Source organism: Homo sapiens, chromosome 3 (assembly GCF_000001405.40).
Source record: "Homo sapiens chromosome 3, GRCh38.p14 Primary Assembly".
Classification (NCBI taxonomy): Eukaryota; Metazoa; Chordata; class Mammalia; order Primates; family Hominidae; genus Homo; species Homo sapiens.
In genome coordinates this window covers 156,529,748-156,555,122 of record NC_000003.12, presented here as the reverse complement: position 1 = coordinate 156,555,122, position 25,375 = coordinate 156,529,748, and the positions used below count along the sequence as shown (strand labels likewise).

At 40.2% G+C, this 25,375-nt stretch overlaps 2 protein-coding genes across 14 annotated transcripts in view, besides 2 other annotated features; one reads left to right on the top strand and one right to left on the bottom strand.

The window, feature by feature from the left end:
- SSR3 (signal sequence receptor subunit 3) lies at positions 6-15,570 on the top strand. 4 transcript variants are annotated; one of them, NM_007107.5, is made up of 5 exons: positions 6-166; positions 1,342-1,468; positions 6,120-6,218; positions 10,684-10,815; positions 11,854-15,570. In NM_007107.5, the coding sequence occupies exons 1-5, from the start codon at positions 34-36 to the stop codon at positions 11,918-11,920; spliced, it is 558 nt and encodes a 185-aa protein (NP_009038.1). In that variant the 5' UTR covers positions 6-33; the 3' UTR covers positions 11,921-15,570. The 4 variants fall into 4 exon arrangements, with proteins under 4 accessions (NP_009038.1, NP_001295126.1, NP_001295133.1 ...); NM_001308197.2 differs by having other exon boundaries at positions 6,120-6,257; NM_001308204.2 differs by lacking the exon at positions 6-166 and adding an exon at positions 278-386.
- Positions 68-147: an enhancer, noted in NCBI's record as "active region_20728". NCBI's record gives its function as "activates an Ori minimal core promoter by ATAC-STARR-seq in GM12878 lymphoblastoid cells {active_cell/tissue: GM12878}" and the evidence as "EXISTENCE:reporter gene assay evidence [ECO:0000049][PMID:35858748]".
- KCNAB1 (potassium voltage-gated channel subfamily A regulatory beta subunit 1) overlaps positions 15,985-25,375 on the bottom strand; it is a 420,928-nt gene continuing 411,537 nt past the window's right edge. For 7 of the 10 annotated variants that reach the window (XM_017007171.3, NM_003471.3, NM_172159.3 and 4 more), the window contains 2 exons: positions 23,626-23,714; positions 15,985-18,465 (listed from right to left, as the gene is read on the bottom strand). In XM_017007171.3, the coding sequence (XP_016862660.1) occupies positions 18,376-18,465; positions 23,626-23,714 (179 nt within the window). In that variant the 3' untranslated portion in view covers positions 15,985-18,375. The remainder of the gene's footprint in view (positions 18,466-23,625; positions 23,715-25,375) is intronic. The other 3 variants (NM_001308217.1, NM_001308222.1, NM_172160.3) reach the window with 2 other exon arrangements.
- Positions 20,886-21,385: an enhancer, noted in NCBI's record as "H3K4me1 hESC enhancer chr3:156251527-156252026 (GRCh37/hg19 assembly coordinates)". NCBI's record gives its function as "activates a minimal SCP1, AML or CMV promoter by ChIP-STARR-seq in primed H9 embryonic stem cells {active_cell/tissue: H9 hESC(primed)}" and the evidence as "EXISTENCE:reporter gene assay evidence [ECO:0000049][PMID:30033119]".

The following is a 25,375-nucleotide window of genomic DNA, read 5'->3' as shown; positions in this document are numbered from 1 at the left end:
TCTACGTTCCCTGTTCTCGCCTGCAGCTCCGCCATGGCTCCTAAAGGCAGCTCCAAACAGCAGTCTGAGGAGGACCTGCTCCTGCAGGATTTCAGCCGCAATCTCTCGGCCAAGTCCTCCGCGCTCTTCTTCGGAAACGCGTTCATCGTGTCTGCCATCCCCATCTGTGAGTGCTGGGAGCGAGGCGGGTTAGGCAGGCCGCCGGCTAGTCGGGCTGGGCGGGGACGTGGCAGGACCCGGCGAGCAGGGAAGGCGTGGGTGCCGGCCGGGGGTCGGCAATCTCTCCAGCTCCCCTGAGCTCGGGGAGGCACGGAGCCTCTTCTTTGGGCACAGTGTTGTCGCTTGGGATTGTCCTGTGCAGCACTCGGGGAGGTCACTTGTTAAAAGTACGCACGTTCCCGAGCTCCACCCCAGGAGAAGGTGGTTAACTAGTTCTGGGGTGGCGGCCCCGAATCTCTATTTAAACAGACAAACTCAAGCATACTGCCTCTGCCCTTTTCTATACAACTGTTGCTTGCCGTTACGAAATTTTAAACTTATTACTTATTTTGCATAAATTAGTTAGGTGAGAAACCCATGAAGTGACCCACTGAATTATAAGTGCATCTTTACGTGAGCTACTTCACACCATTGCATAATTTTCCTGGTTTTTGCAAAAAGAGAGAGGTTGAAGTGCCAGGGGTTAGGGATCTACCTTATTTATACTTTTTAATAATCCTACTGGACCAATTCTAGAATTCTCACTTGGTTGGGAAACTGCAGACTTGGACAAGGTCGTTTTTAGTAGAGCTCAAGTTTCCAGAACTCCTGTCTTTTGCTGCACTGTTGTTGGGCATTTAAAACTAAATGTATTTTTCTCTTTTGTCCTTATACAACCCAGCGTGCCATTAACGTGATGTGAAGCCATATGATGGCTCACTAATTGGACATAGCACTGCTTGGAGTTCTGATAACAGCCACGTCAGCAAGGAAACTATGGTTTGGGGCTGCACGTGGCATTTTGGAATGGCCTGTGTTTCGCATGCTAGTACCCTGATGAATGAAATTTGAAGTCTGACTTGTGATTACGTTGAGCCAGAGTTTGTTCTCATTTTAGAAGTTGAAATCTCATCTGGACTAGTAATAGGAAGGTGATGTTTTTCAAATGTTCTGAACTGGAAAGCTTGAGACTATACTGTTACTGGTTATCTCGCTTCTGAAGATCCTCAGATACTATTGGATTGCATAACTAATAACCTGGTATTTTACCAGGCTTAGCTATAATTAATTTCGCAGGCTTTTGTTGCGGGGTTGTAATGTTTTGCTTCTTTTTGTACCCTTCCCCCTTTTATTTTAATTCAGGGTTATACTGGCGAATATGGCATATGGATCTTATTCAGTCTGCTGTTTTGTATAGTGTGATGACCCTAGTAAGCACATATTTGGTAGCCTTTGCATACAAGAATGTGAAATTTGTTCTCAAGCACAAGTAAGTATGTTTTTCAAGTGAAAGTACGTACTACATGTTATATTTTTATATGTCTTCTTAAAGATCATTTGTGTGTGTTGGTTTTAATAAGCATTAATTTGAGATATATATATTAATAAACATTTTGGGGGAAAGGAACATTGATGCTAGGAAGAATTATTAACTAACTGAAGTAGAGACAATGATCATTCTGACACGGCTACAGAAGCAGATTTTGAGGGTGGAATTAGAACACTTAAACACAGGCCTTAATATGAGGTTCATCAGAGAAACAAACCCACCAAGTAAGTTAACATTTCAGAAGCTAAATGTAATTCCTTATGGAGAGAATTGTTCTGGGCTCTTCACGTACTATTTTTGGAAGTTAAAGAAATGATCTTTTTGTCATTATTATTTTTTGAGACAAGGTCTAGTTCTTGCCCAGTCTGCAGTGCAGTGGCATGATTATGGTTCACTGCAGCCTCAACCTTCCCAGGCTCAAGGGATCCTCCCACCTCAGCCTCCCAAGTAGCTGGGCCTACAGGTGCAGGCTACCATGCCCAGCTAATTTTTTTGTAGAGACAGGCCATGTTGACCAGGCTGGTCTTTTTATTTTATTGCTTTTTTTTTTTTTTAACTCTCTGTCATTTTCAATGCTAATTACGTTTGTTTTCATACAAGTGTATAAAATGTAAAGGATTAACATAGTCTAAGATCACACATACTGTAAAATACAGCTTTTAGAGAAGAAAACTCAAGCCTCACCACAATAAACTTATACCTTAATTATAAGCAATTAAATATTCTAGTTTCATAGAGGTTAAAATGCAGGATCACGTAGACTTAGGAAAGATGGTAACATTTATTATTTCTCAGCGTCATGGTCCTCATTGTCTCATTGGAAGTGGTATAAATTGTTTAATTGACGCCCTTTGATGTTGCTTTCATGTACACTGTGATACTTGGGTAGGGATAGCAGGATTATTTCCCTCCTTCCTTGATGGGGTCATCTAGGTGCTGTATTGCTTTGAAAGTAATTTCTTAAAAGGCAATTGGAATTTCACTGAGACTTAGTACGAACATACTTTGTATGTGCATTATCTTTTCATCCATAGTTCTCACTCTAGTTTGGATGCTGTTTTTACTTGTATTGCTGTAACAACCTCCATCTGGTCTTTTAAAACAAGTTTAGGGCCCGCCCTGCCATGCACTGTATGAAGCACATTGCCCTATGTAATCCTTATAGCATCCATATGAGGTGCAGGTATTTTCCTTGTTTTATCCAATGAAGAGTATGTATTTCTCCTTATGTGACATCATTTTTATCATGTCATTCTCATAACAACTCATCATGGCTTTTTTTTTTTTTTTTGAGACAGACTCTCACTCTGTTGCCCAAGTTAGAGCGCAGTGGCCCAATCTTGGCTTACTGCAACCTCTGCCTCCTGGGCTCAAGTGATCCTCCCACATCAGCCTCCCAAATAGCTGGGACTACAGGCACGCACTACTACCACGCCTGGCTAATTTTTGTATATTTTGTAGAGATGGAGTTTTGCCATGTTGCCCAGGCTGGTCTTGAACTTCTGGGCTCAAGTGATCCGTCTGCCTCGGTCTCCCAAAGTTCTAGGATTATAGGCGTGAGCTGCCGTGTCCAGCCATGGCCTGTTTTTTTTAAATGTATTAAAGCCAAATTCTTCTAGACCCCTGGAATGCAAGTCATCTGCTTCCTTCCTATGAGTCTGGCCTCATCTTTCAGAATTAGGCTTTAACCCTTCTGACTCAGCCCTCACATCATCCTTTGAATATGTCTTGTGCCCTACCCTATTTAGGATTAACTTACTTCCTTTCCATTCTTACCTGTGTTTTATTTCTAGACCTAGGAATCTTTTCCAGAGAAATCCTTCCTGATTTTGATCATTTCTTTGCTTTATTGTCCCTGTGTTAGACTCTTTCGGGGAATGAGGAATAGAAACATGTTGAGATGATCTCAGTTAACAGGGGTTTATTTTAAGAAATGTCCCAAAATGGCCTCAGTGACTGAAGTGGCCTTAGCAGTTTCCTCCCTACTGTTCTGGACACAAACGAGCTCAGGTTTTCGTGGCTGCTGTTCTGATGGACCAGCAGATAAATTGGGTTATCTTTGTTATCTTTCTGCTTGGCAGCCCCTCAACCAGCTGCTATTCCAGGATTCAGCTCATGTGGGCCTCCACTGTATGGGACTGTTTCCTGTGAGGCATGGCCATCTGTGTATCGGGAAGCCCTCACAAGTGGGCATCTGGTATGACCCATCCTTTGTAATACTCTTGGAACTCAGTCCCTTTGAGACTCGTCATTCTTTACTTATTCTTCATAACATTTTTCATTCATCTCTTTAGAATCAAAGTCATGTTCTTTTTACCTTTTCCTTTCTACTTTAGGCTTCTTGAAGACACCCGCCATATTTTATACTCCTTAAAACAGTTAATGGTACATTTAGTTCAGTAAAATTTCAATGACTTACTGACTTAATAGACTCAGAATGGAGGTTTTTTTTTTAAGTCATAGTTTTGGCTTTATATTAAATATGCTACTGACTTTGAAATGCCTACAGATTTGCAAGATGGTTAAGGTTCAAAGATCCAGCAAGATGCTGAGTGTGGGTAGCTGTTGGCAGTAGAAGGAAGATGGCTTCAGCGTTGACAGTCTGGGTTCCAGTGCCAGCTCTGCCACTCTTAAATGTGTGGCCGTGGGCATAATTTTACCTATGTAGACTTCAGATTCCTCAGCTATAAACTGGGGATGCTAGTGGAATTTCAGAGGGTGGTGAGGATTCATTATGATCATACATGTTAAGCATAGAGTCTGGCACATAATAAATGTTTATGTGCAGGGTTGAAGAGGTTGGGGCTAAGAGAGCCCTTAGAAGTTGTTTTTGTTTTTTAACGTGGCATAATTTAAACCATGTTTGCAAAGATGTTTTTATTTTAAGAAATCAGGTAGTGTCTTTTTTTATTTTTAATTTTGGAAGTGTTCTGACATACTGATGTGAAAGAGTAAAGGAAGAAAAATACAATTGATTTTATGGGTTATCTTAGTTGACTAAGTGCTAGGTCACTAGCGTGACCTCTATTTTGTTTTAGAGTGTTCAGCACTGAGTGAGGTTTATTTTCTGAGAGCTCTAAGACAGAGGGGAGGGCTTCCTCCTCTTGAGTTGCAGTAAACCTGCAGTGTGGTTGTTATGCCCCTGGTAGGTGAGGATAAAATTCTAGACCTAGAAGAGAAATTGCTTAGTTATCTGGTGTAATGTCTTCATGAGGATTTATCATGTGGACAATCGGTTGACTGTTCGTCCTAAAGACACATAGTGACAACCAACTCTTTTGAAAATGCAGTAGTTTATTCCTGTGTGCTAACAACTTGATAGTTGGGGTGTGTGTATATATTTTTTATATTAAGCTAAGAAAGGTTTCTGCAGTAAACTGTGTCCATTTCTTTTCAGTTGGTCTTTTGTGGAAAAAAAAGTTGTCTGATGTTAAGTTCAAGAAACACATTTATTTATTTTTAATTTTTCTTATTTTTCCTGTTCTCACAATCTGTTCTCATGAAGAAACATATTTAGTGCCTGGTCTGCTAAAGAGGTTCAGAGAGAAGAATCTCTGCCTTTGGAGCTGAGTGTATCCGAAGTGCAAGAAGCATATGAAAAAAGATAGTTTTTATATAATGAAATGAATCAAATGAAGTTGGATCTTCGGAGTAAAAAGTTCATTTTAGTGTCCTAAAGTGTCTCTTAAAAAGACAGCTCTCTGCCCCCTTAGCAGCCTTTTACTTTAGGTTTCAGAATTGATTTCCTCTTAATTGTGTGTGTTTTGTTTTGTTTTTTTTTAGAACTATTTTTTCCTCTTTCCAGTTACCAATTTGTGTGGGGTAACAAGGTTTAAAAAGTAACTTTGTAAACCTTTTAAAAAATACATTATTTGAAACTGACTAAACGTTTTCTTTTTATTAATAACAATGTCAATTCTAACTCAGTTCTTGAGTGAGAGAGCTAAAGATGGAGACAGGTAAAAAAATAGGTAAAATCAGTTGCAATTTGTGCTTAACTTGTATCCCAGACACCCTTGTAGTTGAAGATCAAGATTGAAAACTCCTGCCTTGAATGACCTGGGGCTTTCTGTCCATCACACCCAGCTTAAATTGTCCTTTGGAGTAAAGTTAAAATAATTACTTTAAGATATTACAGCTGTTATTTCCACTTCGTTTAAGCCTAGTTTTCGCTCCTGTTATGTACTTGGAATTGAAATAATACATCATTTACTAATGCCTTATGAAATTTATTAGTTGAACAGTTAGATGATAGGTTAAAACAAAATGTAGTTAAAATGATTCTTAACTAAATTGTGTTAATAGCATTTGACTTTATTAACCACATTAATTCCTAAACTGTGGAAAATTCTTCTTTTTAAGGGGAAATCAAAACACGTCACTAATAAACCACATCTTGGACATTTCTCGAACTTCTCTTTTGGCTAGTGCAGTGTAATAAACTTGGAACTTTCTGCTCAGCTTCTTTTCTTGAAATGTGAAATATCATTCTGTTGCCAGTACGAAATATGAGTACGGTGTGTTTCTGAGAGAGTGTGATGTTCACCTCTGTAGCATATGGAAACTTTTTCTTTTTTTCTTTTTCTTCCAGAGTAGCACAGAAGAGGGAGGATGCTGTTTCCAAAGAAGTGACTCGAAAACTTTCTGAAGCTGATAATAGAAAGATGTCTCGGAAGGAGAAAGATGAAAGGTTTGACTCCTGTTTAAAGTATGGCCATCATAAAAGGGGGTACTTTGAAGAGAATTTTTTGATTTTTGCTTAAAGAATTTGGATTTTGGAATTGTCTGAGGTAAATTTTGGAATTGTAGTAGTAGTAGTAATGGAAATAGTAATAGCTGACTTTTAGAGTTTTTATTACAACCAGATACTTTTATCTGTGCTGTACAATAGTTGATTTATTCCTCTAAAGAGTCCTGTGAAGTAGGTACTATTTTTATCTCCTTTTTATACCTGAGGCAACAAAGGTACAGAAAGCTTGAGTAACTTGCCCAGGGTCCTGAATTAGTACATGGTAGATCCATGATAAGAACACAGGCAGTTTAACTTGAGAGCTTGTACTTGTAACTGTCTGCTGGAATTGAGGAGGCAACAGAGCTTTGTACAGAGCAGGCTTTGTCTGTTAATAGGTGCACAACCTTGAACATATCGCCTAACCCCTCTGGGTCTGAAGGGTTTATGTGTTAGCATGTCTATGTGGTGGTATTTCTGTTCCTGAGCTTCCCGAGGGATATCCCATAATTAGTTATCTGTATTGGTTGGGAAAAAGAAAATAACTGGGTTTTTCTCCTGTTGCCCAATTCTGTGCCACGTTTGTTAACCCCTAGTCCCAATTTTTTCTGCCGGCTGCTCTTAGAAGGCTTATTGGACAATCTTAACATCTGAGTAGCAGAAGTCCCTGAGTAAACTTGTGCTGAAGAATTGCCACATAGTTTAATAGTTGTGGATCTGCTGGTTTTCATGGATCTTTTGTTTCAGTATCAAGAAGATGCTTTGTTGGAACATATTTTTTACCCCACTTTGCTCCAGAACTTTGTGTGAACTTCCATTGTTAAAGTGCATATAATATATTTTCTGTATTTAATACGGTTTTCTTAAAATGCATATAAAACAAGTAACACACTTTTAAAGGACCAGAAACCATTTAAAAGGAGGAAAAGGTGGATGAGCAAGTACCTTAGAGTTAGTTACAGCAACTGAGCACTGAACTTAGTTGTGGGTTTCCAGGTGTCAGGGGAAGCATCTGAGGTCACATAGCTTTCATTGTCTGACGAGAAGCAGCATGCAAGTCCTTCTGAAAAGAAACTTTCCTGGCACTGGATCTTGGAAATACTTTATCAAGTGGATCCTTATTTAAGGGACACTGAGTAACTTAATGAACAATGTCTTCTATAGTGGTTTTGGAAAGGTACCAAAACATTATTAAAATGATTATCTTCTATGGCTCCTTTATAAAACTGAAGGCACAGTATTATGACAATGGAGGCCTTTCTGCATGGAGCAGCTTTAATGAGGTCGGGCTGCATAGCTTTCCAATTGCTTGTTTTTTGCATAGGGATCAAGGTTAGAAAATCTAGGTAACTGTTTTAGAAAAAACTTTTTGTTGTATTTTTCATTACAGTGGTGTTTCTTAAACTAGGGTATGCATAGTTACCTAAATTTCAAAATGTTTGTTACAGCTTTTAAAGGTTTTCAGTGATTAATTATGTCAGGGATAGTAAATGGGTTTCCTCTGCCCACTGCAGTCTTGGGCAGATTTGGTCTGGCACTTGTTCTTGATCCTGGGTTATGTCTCGGAATCTTTCTCAGTTTAGTGTTCAGGTAGTCACTACTAGTGACTCAGTTGAAATTGGGAATGAAACCTTTGCCATTTGCTGGATTAGGTATTTCAAAGTGGGGTGAGGTGGAGGTTTCATGGATATATATAAGTGCAGAGTGTCAGAACATTATAAAATTTCTCTTCTTTTCATTGGTAGAAATTTGGCTGTTTTTATTTCCACCATAAAAGCCATACGGGATACAGTTTGTACTGTATTGATTGACCTTGATAACTGGGACCAGAGCCTCTCATTAAGATCTAGCTTGTTTCTCTCTGAAAGAATTCCAGGAGATTTGATGTAAGAAGAAGGCTTATCAGCATTTCTTTGCTTAGATGTGTATCTCTCAAAGCTCTGTCTACATTCATTTGGAATATATACTCCATGCCGCTTAAAAGTACTTTAAAATGTTCATTTATCCAAGGATGGAAATAAGCAGAGGAGAATGTGAGATTCATTAACATTCATTCCAGAGTGGGAGTGTGGTTTCTTCTTGATTTACAGGTGATCTATCATTTAACAGTTGCTTGGTCTCAACATTTCTCTTGTAGGAAGCTCTTCCTGAAAACATCCTTAAGATATTGAGAAGTGCTCTCCCAAACCACGTTCCCTACTAGGAAGAAAATGTCTTCTACTAGGCAGAACCGTTGGCAATGAGGGCATTTGGGGGTCCTAAATTTAAAACAGAAACAAAAACAGGATATGGGTGGACTCAGTAAAAGTTCTAAAGGCTGTCAGGCAGTCCTGACTTTATACACTGATGTAACTAACACGTGGTCATATTGGGATCTAGGGAAATCTAAAGGATTGGGCCACTTCTTTCATTAAAAGCTTTTTGAAAATGGTTCTTGTATTAGTCGATTTTCACAGTGCTATAAAGATACTACCAGAGACTGGGTAATTTATAAAGAAAAGTTTAATTGACTCACAGTTCTGCATGACTGGGGATGCCTCAAAAAACTTACAATCATGGTGGAAGGTAAAGAAGCAAGTGCCTTCTACACAAGGTGGCAGGAGAGTGAGTGAGCACAGGGGAAAGTGCCATTTTTAAACCATCAGATTTTGTGACAACTCCCTCACTGTCACGAGAGTGGCATGGGGGAAACCACACCCATGATCCAGTCACCTCCCACCAGGTCCCTCCCTCAACATGTGGGGATTACAATTCAAGATGAGATTTGGGTGGGGACACAGAGCCAAACCATATCACTTCTTATTTAGGGCTTGACAGAAAAGAAGTTAAGGAGAAGCACTGTGATGCAAGTGAGATAATTTTATCATCTAGAGTAAAGTCAGCCTAATAACCTACGTAAGCAACCTGACTTCACTGGGTCTCATGCCGGAGTCTTAAAAATGGAGGCAGTTGTCCTGAGTGTTCATTCTAGTGTTAAACCATGTTGAGACTATGCATCTTACTAGGCTGGTATCATTGATCAGTGTTAGAATGACATGTTTCCTGGAACTCCAACTCTTGTGTTTTAAAAATTTACATTTAAACTTCTATGAAATTAGAAGGTGTTTTATAGTTGATGGCTGCACTTAATGTCCTTCCCTTCCTCCAAACTTACAGTAAATGGAAGAGTTATTAAGTCGATGGTGTCTGTAGAATTGAGGAAATATGGCATCTGTTAGAGACTACAGATTTCTTAAGATGAGCATAAGATGTTAATTAGCCTTCATTTAGCTCCTTTCCGGCAAAACTTGTTTTCTTTGGATTAGTATACTTAATGAATATAATGTGTCAGTTACCAATGACTTACTTAAAGTGCTGTCCTTAGGGTTGAGGGGATGTGTCATCTGACTCCAGAGTAGGTTTATCTTTTTGGGAGACAAAGTGTCTACAAAGTGGCCTTCAACCTTTTTGATAATGACCTACAGTAAAAAATATGTATTTTACCTTTTGACCAGATAAACTCACACGTGGACACATGCACATGTTTCATAAAACGATAATTATCCTACTCTGTGCGATGTGCTGCTGATGTTTTTCTATTCTTTCCTATTTCATTTTTTTAAAATGCTGGTCTCAACTCAATTAATTTCTATGGGCATTCGATCCACTTGATTGAGTTCACATCCCACTAATGGGTCACAACCTACCCTTTTAAAAACTGCTTTACAAAGTTAATTAACCAACAAGAATGAAGGCTCCCTTATTCACAGGCATCCTATAACTTCCTTTTGCATGTGTGAAGGGGTAAAAGAAAAGATGGATGAAATACCAGTAAATTAATAAGATAAACTATCAGAACAAGTAAAATAGAATAAAAAGTAGAAGGATTTTACAGGCATTAAAAAGTCCTCCTAATGATTAAGCGCTCTTTTTTTGTTTGAATTAATAAAGATGGCTAACAATAGCCTACTTCTGTGAGACCACAGGTAATTTTTGTCATTGGGATTGTCTTCTGAAGGTGTGATATTGAAGTCTGAAATCCGTAGGCTGTAGAAAGCCTCAAGCCCAAGGTATAGCCAAGGAAACTCCACAGGCTGCTAATCATGGAGTTTGAGTTTTAGGTAAGGGCCAAGAGAAAGATATTTGACTTAGCTGCTGATGAAACCGTGCGGGTTGCCATTAATGAGTCCTTTCTTCCATAACCCTGGTTGCCTGGGAAAAATGGTAACATAACCAGCATGATGTTTTCTTCACTATCATAGAGTGACATATTTTTTTTCAGTGGAAGAAAGGGGACAATTCTGACTAAATCTAATATTACAAACACATTCTTACCCTAGAACACTCAAGGAAAAACTTGTTTTATGATGAACTAGAGCCATATGGTACTTAAAAGTTTTTTTAAATCATATTTATAAGCTTGTTTGACTTGTTTCTGTGTCTGTAGAATCTTGTGGAAGAAGAATGAAGTTGCTGATTATGAAGCTACAACATTTTCCATCTTCTATAACAACACTCTGTTCCTGGTCGTGGTCATTGTTGCTTCCTTCTTCATATTGAAGAACTTCAACCCCACAGTGTATCCTTTTCAAGGTTGATTATCTTTTTTAGAAGTCAAGAAACAGTAGTTCATTTTGGTTTTGACTTGTCTGGATATTTTAGTGGAAAGAAAAACTGCTCTGGGAGTCAGTCCATTAAATAGTGCTGACTTTAGATAACTTTCTGGACATTTAAAATAACAGCTATTGGTTTAAGATTCTTTTAAGTTTATGAATTATGACTGTATGATAAAGTATTACAAAGTAGTCTATGGGAATCTGTGTCCTTGCCTCCTTAAAAAAAAGCTCCAAAGAGCCAAAGCAAACCTGTCATTTTTGATAGCTTCTGAAATAATAAGCCCCTGTACCTGTTATTTTTGGGCTCTGGGGGTTGGGTGGATGGCCAATGCAGTTAAATAGGTTCATTCCAGTGTATCTTAATAGTGTTTCAAGCTGCTGTTAAGTTGAGCTTTTGGGCAAGAATCAGTCTTCTCTTATTAATTTATTAAAGATGTTATCCAGGAATGTGCAGCCAAGATTTTAACAATTGGTGATTATGATGTAATAAAATATCAGATACCCTCCAACGTGTACCTTCTGGGAATGCTGGAGTGATTTGCTGAAAATTGTAGAGTTCTGAGGCTAGGAGTAGCTTCGAACTTTTAGAACCTCCTTGCTGTTGCAAGCCAACTGCAGCAAAACACTGATTTGCAGGGAAGACTTATTTTTCCATTGCTCTTAGGGGAAGAAAAGGAAAACAAATCTCTTTTCTCTCCATGTTCTTTGATCAGCTCTTCGTGAAGGTTAAATGGAATTCAGATTATTCTTTGTGATCATGTGTTCTAGGTTTCTGTCTAAAGTGTTTTTTTTAAATTGGAACACATTTCCTGTGAATGTTTTCCATTTTTTTTTGGTCTTCTGTCTTGCAAATTGTGTTTGCAGACAATGGGGCTGCACATCATTATGATTACACCAAGTGTCAGGAAGGAAGCAGTACATTCCAAAGAGATGGGCTCTTTATTTTCTCAAAAAACCAATTTGGAGTTACTCATTTTTCCATAACATTAAATTTCTTACAGGAACTACATATTGTCCATAAGTGCTTCATCAGGACTCATCGCCCTCCTGTCTACTGGCTCCAAATAGACCATGTCAGCTTCACCCCCTGGCTTTGTGTCTATGGGTGGCCTGTGGTATATGGAAAAGTAGCAGGGTGGTCAGGGTGGGAGACACAAGATGTTTTTATAGTCTAGAGCCTTTAAAAAACCCAGCAGAATGTAATTCAGTATTTGTTTATTGGCTGTTTTTTGACAGATTGTTGAAATTAAATGAATTGAAAGGGAAACTCAGAGTACTAGGACGTTTATTAAAAGGAAAAAAATGTCTTGCAATGTGCTGTAATCACAAGAGGAGAAAATAACTTGTTTCCTTGATCTGTCAGAGGTCACAGTAACCTGGGCCGAGCTGTTATTATTTATTATATAATAGTAGTAGGAAGTTAATAACTGGTTCTCTGTGTTCCAAGCACAATATTACAACTTCTTTTGAACCGTAAATATCAGAATGAATCCTCTTCCCAGGGGATTGAACAGAAGCTTAATGTTTACAAGTGTTTGAATTTGTGATCTGAAATAACACAAAATTAAAAACATGATTTCTCTAATTTTCCAACTAGAGGAAGAGAAACTTGTGGAAAAGTTCTTTTTTTTTCTTTTTTTTTTCTTAAAGAAGGGCAGCCAAGGTAGTAACCTAAAAATAGTGCCCAGGCATATGAGAGTTGTCCTACGAGGTTAAAGAACACACTGTTCCACTGTATGGCTTTGGCCCTGAGTGGCCAGGGAGGTCAACTTGACCCTGCCATGTTGGTTTGACTTACTAAGACACAGGAATCACTGTTTTCCTTGACCAGGGTCTCACACCCTGGAGGAATGTTAAGTAAGAGAAAGAACCTCTTTCCTGAATATTGACATGTAAAAGACCAAAGTAATTTTTCTGAACTTCTGCAATTCTGAGAACTCTCCAAGGAATTTACAGTGATTTTAGTGCTTGTCAGCATTTTTCCATGAGGACTTTCATACATTTGACTCTTTAGTTCACAGGTTCCCATTGATTGTGAGCAAGATATTTATCTCTTTAGCCCTTGGGGATCCAGCTGAGAGCAATCTCTTGCATTTTTTTACCCGTGTATGTACAGATATCATTTCTTGTGTATGCCATGACTTGAAAAAGTTTGGGAAGCTCTTTAGCAATATCAGCTAAAAGGATATGAAATCACAGGTGATAGCAGTTGTCATTCAGTAATTTCCTACAAGCAGCACCCCAAAGGAAATATAGTCCTAATCTTTACTATCCACTTCTAAATTTAATGTGAATTTCATACATGTTATTAGTTGTTTTCTTTATAATTTTATAAAAATTATTCATCGGGAGTTTAACTTCCACTTCCATGCTATCGGATGTGTTGGGCTCCATGCAAGAACTTGGAAGAAAAACAGGCAGGAATGCATTTGCATAATGACCCAGATCATCATTTTCTGCAACTGAGAATTATATTTCATCATTGCTTCTAGAAGTCTGCAATTCTTTACTTTTCTTTGGTGCATTATTATCTAGGTGCCATCACTGGATAATGTGGAGTGACTAGAGAAGTCACATATCACTGTAAGGTACAGTTAGGGTAACACTTTAGAGGTTTATTATTTTTAAAAAACTTTTCTTGAACTCCTGGCCAACATGGTGAAACCCCGTCTCTACTAAAAATACCAAAATTAGCCAGGCGTGATGGTGGGCGCCTGTAATCTCAGCTACTTGGGAGGCTGAAGCAGGAGAACTGCCTGAACCCAGGAGGCAGAGGTTGCGGTGAGTCGAGATCGTGCTACTACTGCCTGGGTGGCAAGGGTGAGACTCCATCTCAAAAAAGAAACAAAAAAACCCAAAAAGTTTTCTTTACTGTTGGTTAAAAAAAAAAGCCAGACCATAGTTTGACTGGTGGCATGGAATTTGTGTATCAAATAAATGCATTTGCTTATTTGACAAACCATCAGTGTCCACTATTTGTTACCAGAGTTGGGCCACTATCTTTTAAAATTGCTGGTGAAAACTTGCCACTAGATGGCAGTGCCTGTATAGATGGGGAAAAAATTGCCACCATTCTTGGTATAATACAGTGTAGCTTAGATGAGGTGGTGAAATAGGGGTATCAGCCGAATATTCCTAATATAGTTTCTCTTGAATTAATAAACTGAAGATTTGTAGGAAAATGAGTGAGCAAAATTTGTTTACTGTTGTGAATTTTTCCTACAGCACTGTTTTTAATCTTGATGTTTTCCAACTTTCTGTACTAATAGATACATTTCTGTGCATAAGATTATAAAGCATATACTCACAGTTCAGTAGTTTTCGTTAAGGATTTACTGTGTGAGTACTTTACTGTGAGGAATTGCAGAACCTTTTCCCCTCTACTCTTGTCTAAAAGTTCTGTGTGGCACACAGAGATGCGACCTACTCAATCTGACTTAGTAAAACCATGCTGTAGAATTTTTGTCTTAAAAAGACCACATACCCAGCACCCATGAAATAAAAGATTCATCTGTAATTGGGATTCAAAGTGATTAAATTCCTTTGTTCATACTCATAAATAGCACTAAAGTGTTATAACATTTTCATTTACCTATTTTTAGTTCCTTCATTTTAACTTAATAAAAATCTTGGATTGATATTCTTTTTTTTTTTTTTTTTTTTTTGAGACAGCGTCTCGCTCTGTCACCCAGGCTGGAGTACAGTGGCTCTATCTTGGCTCACTGCGAGCTCCGCCTCCCAGGTTCACGCCATTCTCCTGCCTCAGCCTGCCGAGTAGCTGGGACTACAGGCGCCCGCCACCACACCCGGCTAATTTTTTTGTATTTTTAGTAGAGACGGGGTTTCACCCTGTTAGCCAGGATGGTCTCGATCTCCTGACCTCGTGATCCACCTGCCTCGGCCTCCCAAAGTGCTGGAATTACAGGCGTGAGCCACCGCGCCCGGCCTAGATTGATATTCTTAAGCAATAAAAGTTTACTGGTTGTCCTATTTGCCATATTATTGAAACTTGGAAAGGATAATTTGAAACAAGGTTTGAAGTTAACTGAAATATGGAGATTGAATTTATACTCAATTCTTGTGAAAAGTCTTGCTTAATAAGTATGATTAAACTTTGCTTCTTAAAATTTGTATTTTCCCTACACTTCTTTATAAGAATCCTATGATGAAGTACGTAATCTTTATTATATTATTTTACATTAACCATCTTTTTTTTCAAATTGTTTTATTTTTTATTTTACTTTAAGTTCTGGGATACATGTGCTGACCATGCAGGTTTGGTACATATGTATACATGTAACCATCATTTTAATATCTCACACATGTAAATGCACATCTTTGTAGTTACCAATCAAATGTATGTGAGGCAATGAAAGGCATTGAGCAGTTACAGTAAAGGGCAGACATCAGGCCTCTGCCAGTATGTACCTGCTGTGCCTTCCTGCCTGCCCTATTTCTTTGTTTTCAGTGTGCATGCCAGTCACTGCTGCTTCTGGAGACAGGATGGAAGGATACATGTATGTGTACATTTATGGAGAAAACCAATTTATAGATGTATCAGAGCTCTAAGGGATTCTCTTTCACTTCCTTGGGACTCCCAAGCAGAGGAATTAATAGATTAGGAGGGTCTTTTGGGGGGTTGGTTTAAATTTTCAGGGCGATAGAGGCTAACTTCTCGTTGGCCTTCATGAATTTTCAATATATCATCTTTTCGCTGACTTATCCCTGTTTGATTTCTGAGTTTGGATTAATAACTATGTTTTTTAACTTCAACATTCTCACAAACAATTTCTGCATAAAACTTCTTCTTTAAAGCTTAAAAAGAAAAAAAAATCTACCTAATGGAGCACTGAACTAGAACACAAAATACTTGGGTTCTAGGCCTGGTTCTGCCATCAACTAGCAGTGTGTGAGTTTGGGCAAGTTTTTTCATCATCTGTCCAGGCCTGCTTTGCTCGTTTGTCAAAGAGGGATGGCTTTGCAGATGGCTAAGTTTCCTTCAGGCTCTGACATCTGCCTCATGACTTTGGCACTCTTGTCATGAAGATGAAGTGACAGTTCTTTTAAAGTGGGAAGCCAGACACAGGGTTTCTAGTTTGCCTGAGATTTCCATATAGGGATGGCTGGTACCCAGGTTACCTTTTGGAATGATAGATTCTCTGCCAGGGAATTCTTTTTGGAAGAGAAAAGAAAATAATAAGAGTGCGTGGAATTTTTTCTTAAGGACATAACTAACTAACTAACTAACTGTGAAATACATTAGTATATTTACCATGACAGATTCGCATATAAAAAACTGGCTGTTCCCACAGCTAAGCCATAATATTTATATTTGGTTTTGATTTGCAAGTAAGTTTTTAAAAGTGAATTTGTGAAGCCTTAACCTTAGTGCGGAGTGTTCTAAAACCCAGTGAGAAATGGTATCTTCAGTAGTTAATCTCCATTGATTGATTGATGATAGAATATGTTTGGATTGCAATTTAAATCTCAGACTTTTGATCACTACTATTTCTGTTGAGTATTCAGTGCAGCTTAGCTGCCAATATAATTTTTATTTAGATGATTATTGCCTAATTTATGGCCACATATATTTTACATGTGTATGTTTTACATATATGGAAAATACACATAAGCCTTACAGTGAAAGATCAGATAAAATCTATTGTAAGATTGAATGCACAAAATGCTTTTATTACTCTAAGCAAATAAATCAATCAAATCACATTTCCCATTAGACAGCACCTCAGCTCCTCTATACATACAGCAGTTCGCTGGATTGAATACACAATGAACAACTGAAAATGATCAATTTCCATCATTCTGATAACACGGGCAAAAAATTCAAACTCTCTGTTAGAATACAGGTACTAGTAATCAAAAAGAAAATTTCTTGATATCTCCCACTAGCATTTTCAGATTTAGAATTTAACCATGAAGTACATATCTAGAACTAATGACAGAAAAATCGCATTTTAAAATAATATTACAGTTCTTCTGTAAACCTCAGAGTGATTTCTGTGTGGGGAACTTGCTGACCAGAAAATTAAATGAGAATTTTGTACATCCTCAGATAGCCAAATAGAGTTAAAGGGCCACTCCCACACCACCCCCTTCAAAAAAAAACAAAACATGTTTTCTCTCTTTTTACAGATATTGACACAGTATAGTCTCACAATTTTTCTCAAGTGGGATATTAATGAGGGTAAGTAGCCAATAGTGGCAGGGCTAGATACACCTCAGATTTCGAGTGCAACAAGGGTAAGCCCCATTAATCCATGCAAAGAACTTTCATGCATATAGTTTAGTGCATATAATATGATTATAGAACCAGAAGTTCTTTCTTTAACATTTTGCTTTTCACTAGGCAAGTCAATTTACCCAGCATATTCTGAATAGTGACATAGCATTTTTCACAAAGCCAGTGGTTGACTTTCATGTTAACAATGCCTCAAAAATACCAAACATTATATTATAAAATCCCAGTGCTAATTAAACAATGAACATTTGCCTTCCTGGGTATTTTACAGGTTTACTTAAAAAACTGAGCATGTGTATGTTTATTTGTAAAGCTCAAATATTTAAACTTGCAGAAGTTGTGCCTACAAGCAGTTGAAAGTATAAAGCAGGTTTTAATAAAATGTAGTAAAAAATGAACACCTAATTGCAGATACATTGCATTTTCTTTGAAGCTAAGTTTCCATAGCAGTGTAGCCCTCTCTTTCATAAATCAGCTGCATTGTCACTAAAGATTGGGTATTCATCCTTTTACTGTCTCTACTTGTAAGTGGACATAACATTAGAATCCTAATAGACATTCTGGATAAGTTGTACAAGGCCATTCTTGGGGCCAAGCAACAGTAAATATTTGAAAGGTAATAAAGCAAATACCTAGAAATTTTTGTTTTATTGAATAACAAATGGAACAAAACTTGTTAGTATGAATGTGAAAATAGAAAAAAAATATATAAAATTATTTCTGCTTATTCTTCCAAGCAAGACTTTTGAGTGAAGATACTGCTTTTTTTTTTTTGCAGTGAGATATATTTTTAATAACTATTTACTTAACAATAATCTATTTACTAAGAAAAATCTCTCAATTCCTTTCCTTCACTGAATTTAGTCTATCTACTCTGTTTCTTACGCAACTCACATTGCATCTGTGGATTTTGTTCTTTTGAAAAAATATATCTGTACAGCCTTCTTTGAGTTACCAAATGCCTGAAGGTAGTACCACACCCCCTGGCCCCCATATTCTTCCCATTGCATAAGCATGAGGTGTATACAGCAATGCAAGAATAGGTGACTCCAGTCCAAGATAAGAAAATAGAATGGATTTTCTTGGTTGTGAGTTTTCAGATGTGCACAGTGGTAGCGACAGCAGACACCTCAAAGAATCCAGGGAGGGACACTAGAGGTTGAGCAGCAAGCTGCTAAGTGATTCAAAAGACTGGTTAGTAACACCTTTCTGTACTGGGCACAGGCCGCTATTTTAACCATGCAGCTTCTGTGGTTCATGCATTGCCTTATGATCTATAGTCCTTCTTGCTGTAGGGCTTGTTGCGCAGTATGTTATCAATCTCATTTACCACATGTGATGTCATCTTTGGGAGAACCTGAGAGCAGGAGGAGAAGTACAAAGGATATTGTTAGCAGTGTTGATCATTCGGTTTTTTGTGCTCTATATTTAGCAAAGTAATCTAGAATCATATATCTTCATAAACCACAGCTGAAATCTAAGCCCCCCGCCCCCAACACCATCACATTGTAAGCTCCTTGAGGTCAGGGGCCTTGTTGATTGACTGCATAAATGAAGGCATAAAGGCATAAGTGAAGGCTCATAGAAATACAGAGCAGCTCTATCCAACAGAAATATAATGCAAGCCACATTTGTAATTTAAAATTTTCTATTAGATACCTTAAAAAGAACAGTGAAATTAATACATGTTTTTACTTCATTATATCCAAAACATTATTTCAACATGTAATCAATATAGAAAAGATACTTGACAGTTGTTTTTGGTACTAAGTCACATCTTGTGAACATGTTACACTTAAAGCACATCTCTGTTTGGACTCACCATCTTTCCCGCATACAATAGCCACATGTGGCTAGAACCATAGTAGTACACAGCACAGGTCTAGAGACTAAGGAGAGATTTATTCTGACTGGTGGTCTTATCCCTGGTGAAGGATGGCTGGGGTTTAACAGGCATCCCAGGTAGATGGAATAGCATGGAAAAGTGAACTGGAGTGATAGTATACAGTGATTGGTGTAGGTGTGGGGATGCTAAGAACAGGATACGGATGGTAAGAATGGGATAAGAGTGTGGAAAGCCTTGAATGCCATTTTATGGAGTCCCCACTTTAGGCAGTGGGGAACCTGTCAGGACTTCTGATCTAGGAGTAACCCTATCAGACACCTGGAGGTAGTTTGAAGGATGAGCTGGAGGAGGTGGAAAGGGGACACAGATATTAGATATGTATTACAATCCAAGCCAGGCAATAGGGCCTTAACTAGGGCAGTGGAGCAGAAAAGTGGACCTGAGAGACATTTTGGGGGAAGATGGTGGTTTCAAGACTGAGTAACTAGAAGTATATTGGTATTGATTATTGAGATTAGAAACCAAAGGAGAAGTAGTTTGGGGAATAAGAAGTTGGGAGAGAATAGGATGTGTTGAGTGTAAAGTGCCTGTGGAATATCCACCTAGGAGTGACTGAGCAGCTGCAAGTGCAGCTGTGGAGCTTAGTAGCTGCCGGAGGACTGGAGTTGAGGGTTTGTGAGTCATTTGCACCGACATGCTGACTGAAGCCCCGGGAAAGGATGAGCTCATCCAAGGCTAGCATTTACTGTGAGAAGTGGGCCAAGGGTACACATTACACCATAAGACAAGGGACAAAGGCAGACTTTCTCACTGGAAAAGTCTGACCCTGTGTGGAGACTGTGGTGAAATACAATTCTGACGACCAATTCTGAGGTTTCAACCTCATTCTTCCTTTGTTGCAATCCTGCTGGCCAAGGTGACCTTGTCTCCAGTCAAGTGCTATCCTCAGAAGCCTTAGGGTTTGGCAAAATAGAGCTGCCAGCCTGGGAAACTTCATTCTGGTTAATGTTTTACTGTCTGAAGCTGAAGGAAGAATTTGGTTTCCCACTAGCTCTGGAATTTCAGTGTCCAAACAGCTAATGTGTTATTTAAAATGAGATTGTAACAATGAGACCAAAAACCTAGAAACTGGATTTGTTGGATTTTTTTTTTTGTCTAAAATACAGCGGGTTAGCCACGTGAGGAGAAGAATCCTTCATTCATTACACCAAAGCAAATCTCTATAGGAAAGAGATTTAAACATTAAAAAAATGAAACCATAAAAGTACTCGAATAAAACAAGACATAGTATCACAAGACCAGAATTTTCAAGAGAAGCCCCACTTTGAAACATTGTAAACTACTACAGATTTTACAAACACCCCACAGGCTACTAGTTTTGCAAACTTGATGTTACACTGCCTGGGATAGGTGGTGGGTTGGGGGAGGTCTGGCTAATGTTGCTGGGGCTGGCTGGGCATTAGTAAAGTCCTCCCAGGATTGGGTTCCTATTGATCTGGAACTTGGGGATGGAGTAGGATTTTGCTAGGCTGGGATAGTGGTCAGTTTGTAGGCAGAGGGCCACTGTTATCGCCGAAGCTCTGAGTGGTTGAGAGCGGCTCAAGATTCAGATTCCAGGAAGGTGTGGTGGGGAGTGATGAGGCCCGACTGCTGTGGAGCCTGGCCTTCTCTGATGGGTGATGGGAAGCCTCAGAAGGGTTTTAAGGCATGTGGGGAGGAGGGGGAGAGGCGGTTCTCCCACCTTTTAGGTGGGAGTGGGGAGGATGGAACCTGTGCAGGTGAAGGTGGGCTGCCTGCAGCTGTGGTTTCTCCTCCTGTCTCTCCCATCTGTCAGGCTCTGATTTATATACGCCCCTTCGTTCCTGCACATCTTAGGCACGTGGCATCCCTTGAAGCAGCTGCCTTCCCAGCCTACTAGAAATATTTTCTTACAACTGCTGGTGCTCCGTATTTTCCATCCTTTTGCAGCCAGTGCCACCACTGCTGGGCACCCCTAGTCACCCAGTCTGCTTTTCACCATGTTGTGGGGCCCAATCACAACTCGTCTTGGGTGGACTTTAGTGCTGGGTATGGGGGAGGTGAAGTAGAACAGGGGAGGATTGGTAAGCCCGCAATGGTAGCAGTCTTGCTGCATGGATAATGTCCCCTTTAGGATAGGCAAAGCCTCATCCTGCTGCCAGCCAAAGCCTTGCTAGGGAGGAAATGTTTTGGGAAGAAAAATTACTCAAGAGTTTTCCTCTGAAATGTGTCCCCTTCCCTGTCAGCTGCCTTGCCTATTTCCACAGCTTTTAAAACTCAGCCCTAGACTTGCCTCATATGCCATCCCTAGGCACTATGACTGCCCCCAGGAATGGCAGTGATCTCCCTGTATTAGCATGATAAAAATCCTCAATTCCTCCCTCTTCTGCCAAGCCATGGTGTCTCTCTTTCCCAAACCTGCAGAATCCATCCATTTCTCTCCCCCTCCATGGCCACTACCCTCATTCAAGCCACCATCGCCTCCTGCCTGGATGACTGCCCTTGCCCTTCATTCTACTTTATGCATGGCAGCCAGAGTGACCTTCAGACATTCAAATAGGAGCATGTCCCTCCTCTTAAAACCCTCCACAAGGACTTGTTACATGTAGCATGAACTCTAACCCCATGGTGTCCTGCGAGACCTGGCCCTGCCTGTCTCTCCACGTCAGTGCATCTGCTGTCCCTGTGCTCAACTACGTGTTGACCACATTGGCCTTAGCTGGCAGTTCCTGGGAAAAGTCAAGGTCTTTCCCATCTCAGGGCCTTTCCACTGCTCTTCCCTGTCCCTGGAATGCACTTTCCTGGACTCTTCACATGCTGTGTGAAGACTTGTGAATGGTTGTCAAAGAATGTAAAAAATGAAGGCACATGAAGCCCTCGGAATAAACATATTCCAGAGGGGCTTTTTGCAAAAACATTTAATGTAGGCTCACCCATTTCTCAGTCTCAGTAAAATAAACATTTATTTACTTAATAGCCCTTTTCATAACCTGAAATCATTTTGCTATTTATCTGTCTCTCCTACTGGCACGTAAAACATCCCTTGAAGGTTAGACAGTGTTTTTCTTCTTTCCTGTGTTATCTCCAGTACCTGGTATACAATAGGCTCTCAAAGATCTGTTGAATGAATTAAGGGATAGATATTTTAATTCACTGTTTCTCAGCCAGCACATGAGCTCTTTGAAGGCCAGGTCCTGTTCTTACTCATCTCAGTCCTCCCACTGCCTAGCACGATGCCAGGCATAGAATAAGTGCTCCATAAATATTAGTGAAACTGAAATCATTGGATTGAATTTCAGTTCTTTTTTGTACAAACTGTTCTGTCCCCTCATCACTGTGTACCCTTATCTTTTCCCAGAGCATAAATGAACATAAGAGGGAGAATTCCTCACGTAGCTACAGGGAACCTCACAGAATCCAGTAGGAGTTATGGGGCTGGATATGGGAGTTGTTAGAAGCAGAGAGGCAGAGGTGATTACACGGCTGCACAGTCCTAAGAAAGGTTGGGGGAATGGGCAGGGATCTATACCATTTATTCCACAGTGTATTCTGGGCTATTTTTAAAAAAGATTTTAAATCATGTTTGTTGCTACCTCCACCTGTTTCCTTTTGGGAATGGTAACAGGGCTGTGTGCTTGTTGCAGGGACAGGTAGATAGGGAAGAAGCTGTGAGACAGTTCTTTTCCTCCATGAGCAAGAGAAAAATAGATAACCTTACCAGGTAGTGGCTATGGCAGGAATTGTGGGCAGGATCGTTCCTAGGGCTTTTAGCAGGGTTGAGAGTAGGATAGGCTCAGGACTAGTTGTGGCCTTTGGGGAAAGGAGGTGGTCACAATAGATACTAAACTCCACCCCTCTAGTTAGAGCTCCCAGGAACATCCTTTCAACCCACCCACTGCCACTACAGGCTCCCCAGAATATGGCTGCAGGCCCCATCTAGTGCCCTGGACCAGTGGCCATCTCATGGGATAGGGAATGGGGATGGGCCTCCTAAATTTGCTTCTAGGGAGATGTGATCCTGGAAGTCCAAAATAGAATTTTGAGCCCATTTCTCTTAAAACATGGCAAATATTTATTCAATAGATCTTGAGTGTTAACTAAGGGACATGTAGTAAGTACCCTAGGAACTGGAAAACCGTGGAAAAGCAAAGACACAGGTCTGACCTCAGAGGGCTTGCAGTCCAACAGGAGAGACAGGCAGTTATACTACATTATCATAAAAGATCATGGGAGGGGGAATACAAGATGTTCAGGGAACAGCAAGAAGGGGCTCAGCACACAGCAGGTGGGCAATATTTGTGGAAAGAACAAACAAGTAAATGATGTATGTATATTGTCCTATGACTTAAATTTCCAAGCAAGTTATCAGGCCGGCTTTTATGGCGAGGCCTGGGAAGTCAGTTGCCACGTATAACACTGCAATGCACTCTTCCACAGAAACAAACCATCCCAAGAAATGAGCTTTGGGAATACTGCCTGTTCATAGGCAGAGGACAACCCTGGATCCATGTACTGGGAAAGTGTTCTGTTGCCTTTGTTCCCCCTACTCTTGCCCCACCCAGGACAGAGAGGGGGAGAGATGGGACACTGCCTGGAGATAGCCTCAAAGGCACCATTAAATTCCCTGATGTTGGAAGGGGCTGCAGTACTTGCCTGAATGGCACCAAGGTTTTCAATGAGTTGTTCAGGAGTGGATGATCCCAGGAGCACAGAACTCACACCTTCATTTCTCAGGCACCACGCTGGGAGGAGAGGACACTGGGTCAGTTTATCAAAGCACTTCCAATCGTTGATTAGCTTATAAACACCTGCTACAGCTGTTTGTTGCAGCCAAAATTTATTAACTTCTTTTTGTGGAGGATGTACAGTGCTTCCTAGGATTAAAAACCTGAGCAGCACCCCCTGTTGTGTAGAAGATTTGACAGAATCTGTCAAAGCCCAGCTGGGAGGGGAAATGCAAATGCATAGAGGCGCTGGACAATGGATTGTAAGATTCTCTCCAGCACGCTCAGCTGCCCTCAAGTAGAAGCAGAAAACACAGATGCACTGCTGTCTTTCTTGCTTCTCCGCTGGTTTTCCAATTGCTAGCCTACTATATGTCTCTTAATTAACACTCAATGCATTTGGGTTGGCTCGGGGCTTAAGGCCTTTTTGCTTTCCACATAAGGCCCTGTCACCTCAACCAGGGCATTCAAGCTACCCACCCTAGAAACACATTGTTCCTGGAAACACCTAACACTGCTCACCAGCAGATGGCTGGATTCCTGTTTCTACCTTGGCCCACAACCTCCTGTCTTTCCACTGTATTCATGGTCTCATTTTCCACATCTGTTGCTTGGAACTCTTGTAGACTCTAGGTTTCTGGTTCCTTGGTTCCCACCTACCTGGCAGCCCTCTCTGGACCTCCCTTTCTTCCTAACCCAAGATTCATCCTGTGTTGATGATCTAAATTACTCTCTTATGAACCCTCACACCCCTCACTTCTTCTGCTTCCTTAGCAAATCCCCATCAGTGCTGCATCTGCGTTTTTGGCTTCTACTTCAGGGTAGCTGAGCGTGCTAGAGAGAATCTCACAGTTCATGGTCTGGTGCCCCTATGCGTTCACGTCTTCCCTCCCAGCTGGCTTTAGCCAGCCTGGCCAGCCTCACTCTTGCCCTTGGTCATCTTTCTTTTCCCGAAAATGACCTTAAACCTGTACTCTTAAACCATCCCATCAACCCCTGCCCCCTCACTCTTAGTAGATGACCTTGTCCTAATGTCTATAGAAAATCAAGTCCCTCCATTGGAATATTCCTTAATTCCCCACTCTCCTGCTGCATAAGCATCCACATCCATATCCTCCAGTTTCAGAAGAGGATGTGTGCGGTTTCTGTCCAAGACCAAACTCTGCCTTGGAGATATCTCCTTTTTGCCTTTTCTTGGACTTGATTCATACATGATCCCACCGCCCCCATCACCCCATTTCAAAATTTCTTACTGTGTCTTTCTGTCAACAAAACATGCTAAAATTTCTCCCATTCTAGAATAGGCTTCCTCTGACCCTTTTTACCTGCTTAGATACTGCCCCAACCTTCTTCCCCTCTTAAACTTCTAAAAGGTCAGTCCAGATTCCCTTACTGATCTTCTTCACATCCCAGTCACCTTCTTGCTGTGTCCAGAAGCTAAGGTCCCCAGGAGCCTGCTGGTGATTACAGTGGACTTCTGAGTCCTTAGCTGCCTGGAACTCAGTGTTGCTGGACTCATAGATGCAGTGTCTGCTGGGCCTTCCTGCTAGATGCCCCACCAGCACCGCAAACTTCTTGCTATAATGCCTGGCCTTCTTGCATTCCCAATCACATTTGGGGGCATCACCAGCAATGTGGCTCCCCAATCTGGAAACCTGGGAGTACTCTTTAAGAACTGT

Excerpts from the sequence above, each read along its gene's own strand:
- SSR3 (NM_001308197.2), top strand. The coding sequence starts at position 34 with ATGGCTCCTAAAGGCAGCTCCAAACAGCAGTCTGAGGAGGACCTGCTC. Across the intron at positions 1,469-6,119 it reads AAATTTGTTCTCAAGCACAA|AGTAGCACAGAAGAGGGAGG; the intron begins GTAAGTATGTTT and ends TTTTTCTTCCAG. Across the intron at positions 6,258-10,683 it reads TATGGCCATCATAAAAGGGG|AATCTTGTGGAAGAAGAATG; the intron begins GTACTTTGAAGA and ends CTGTGTCTGTAG.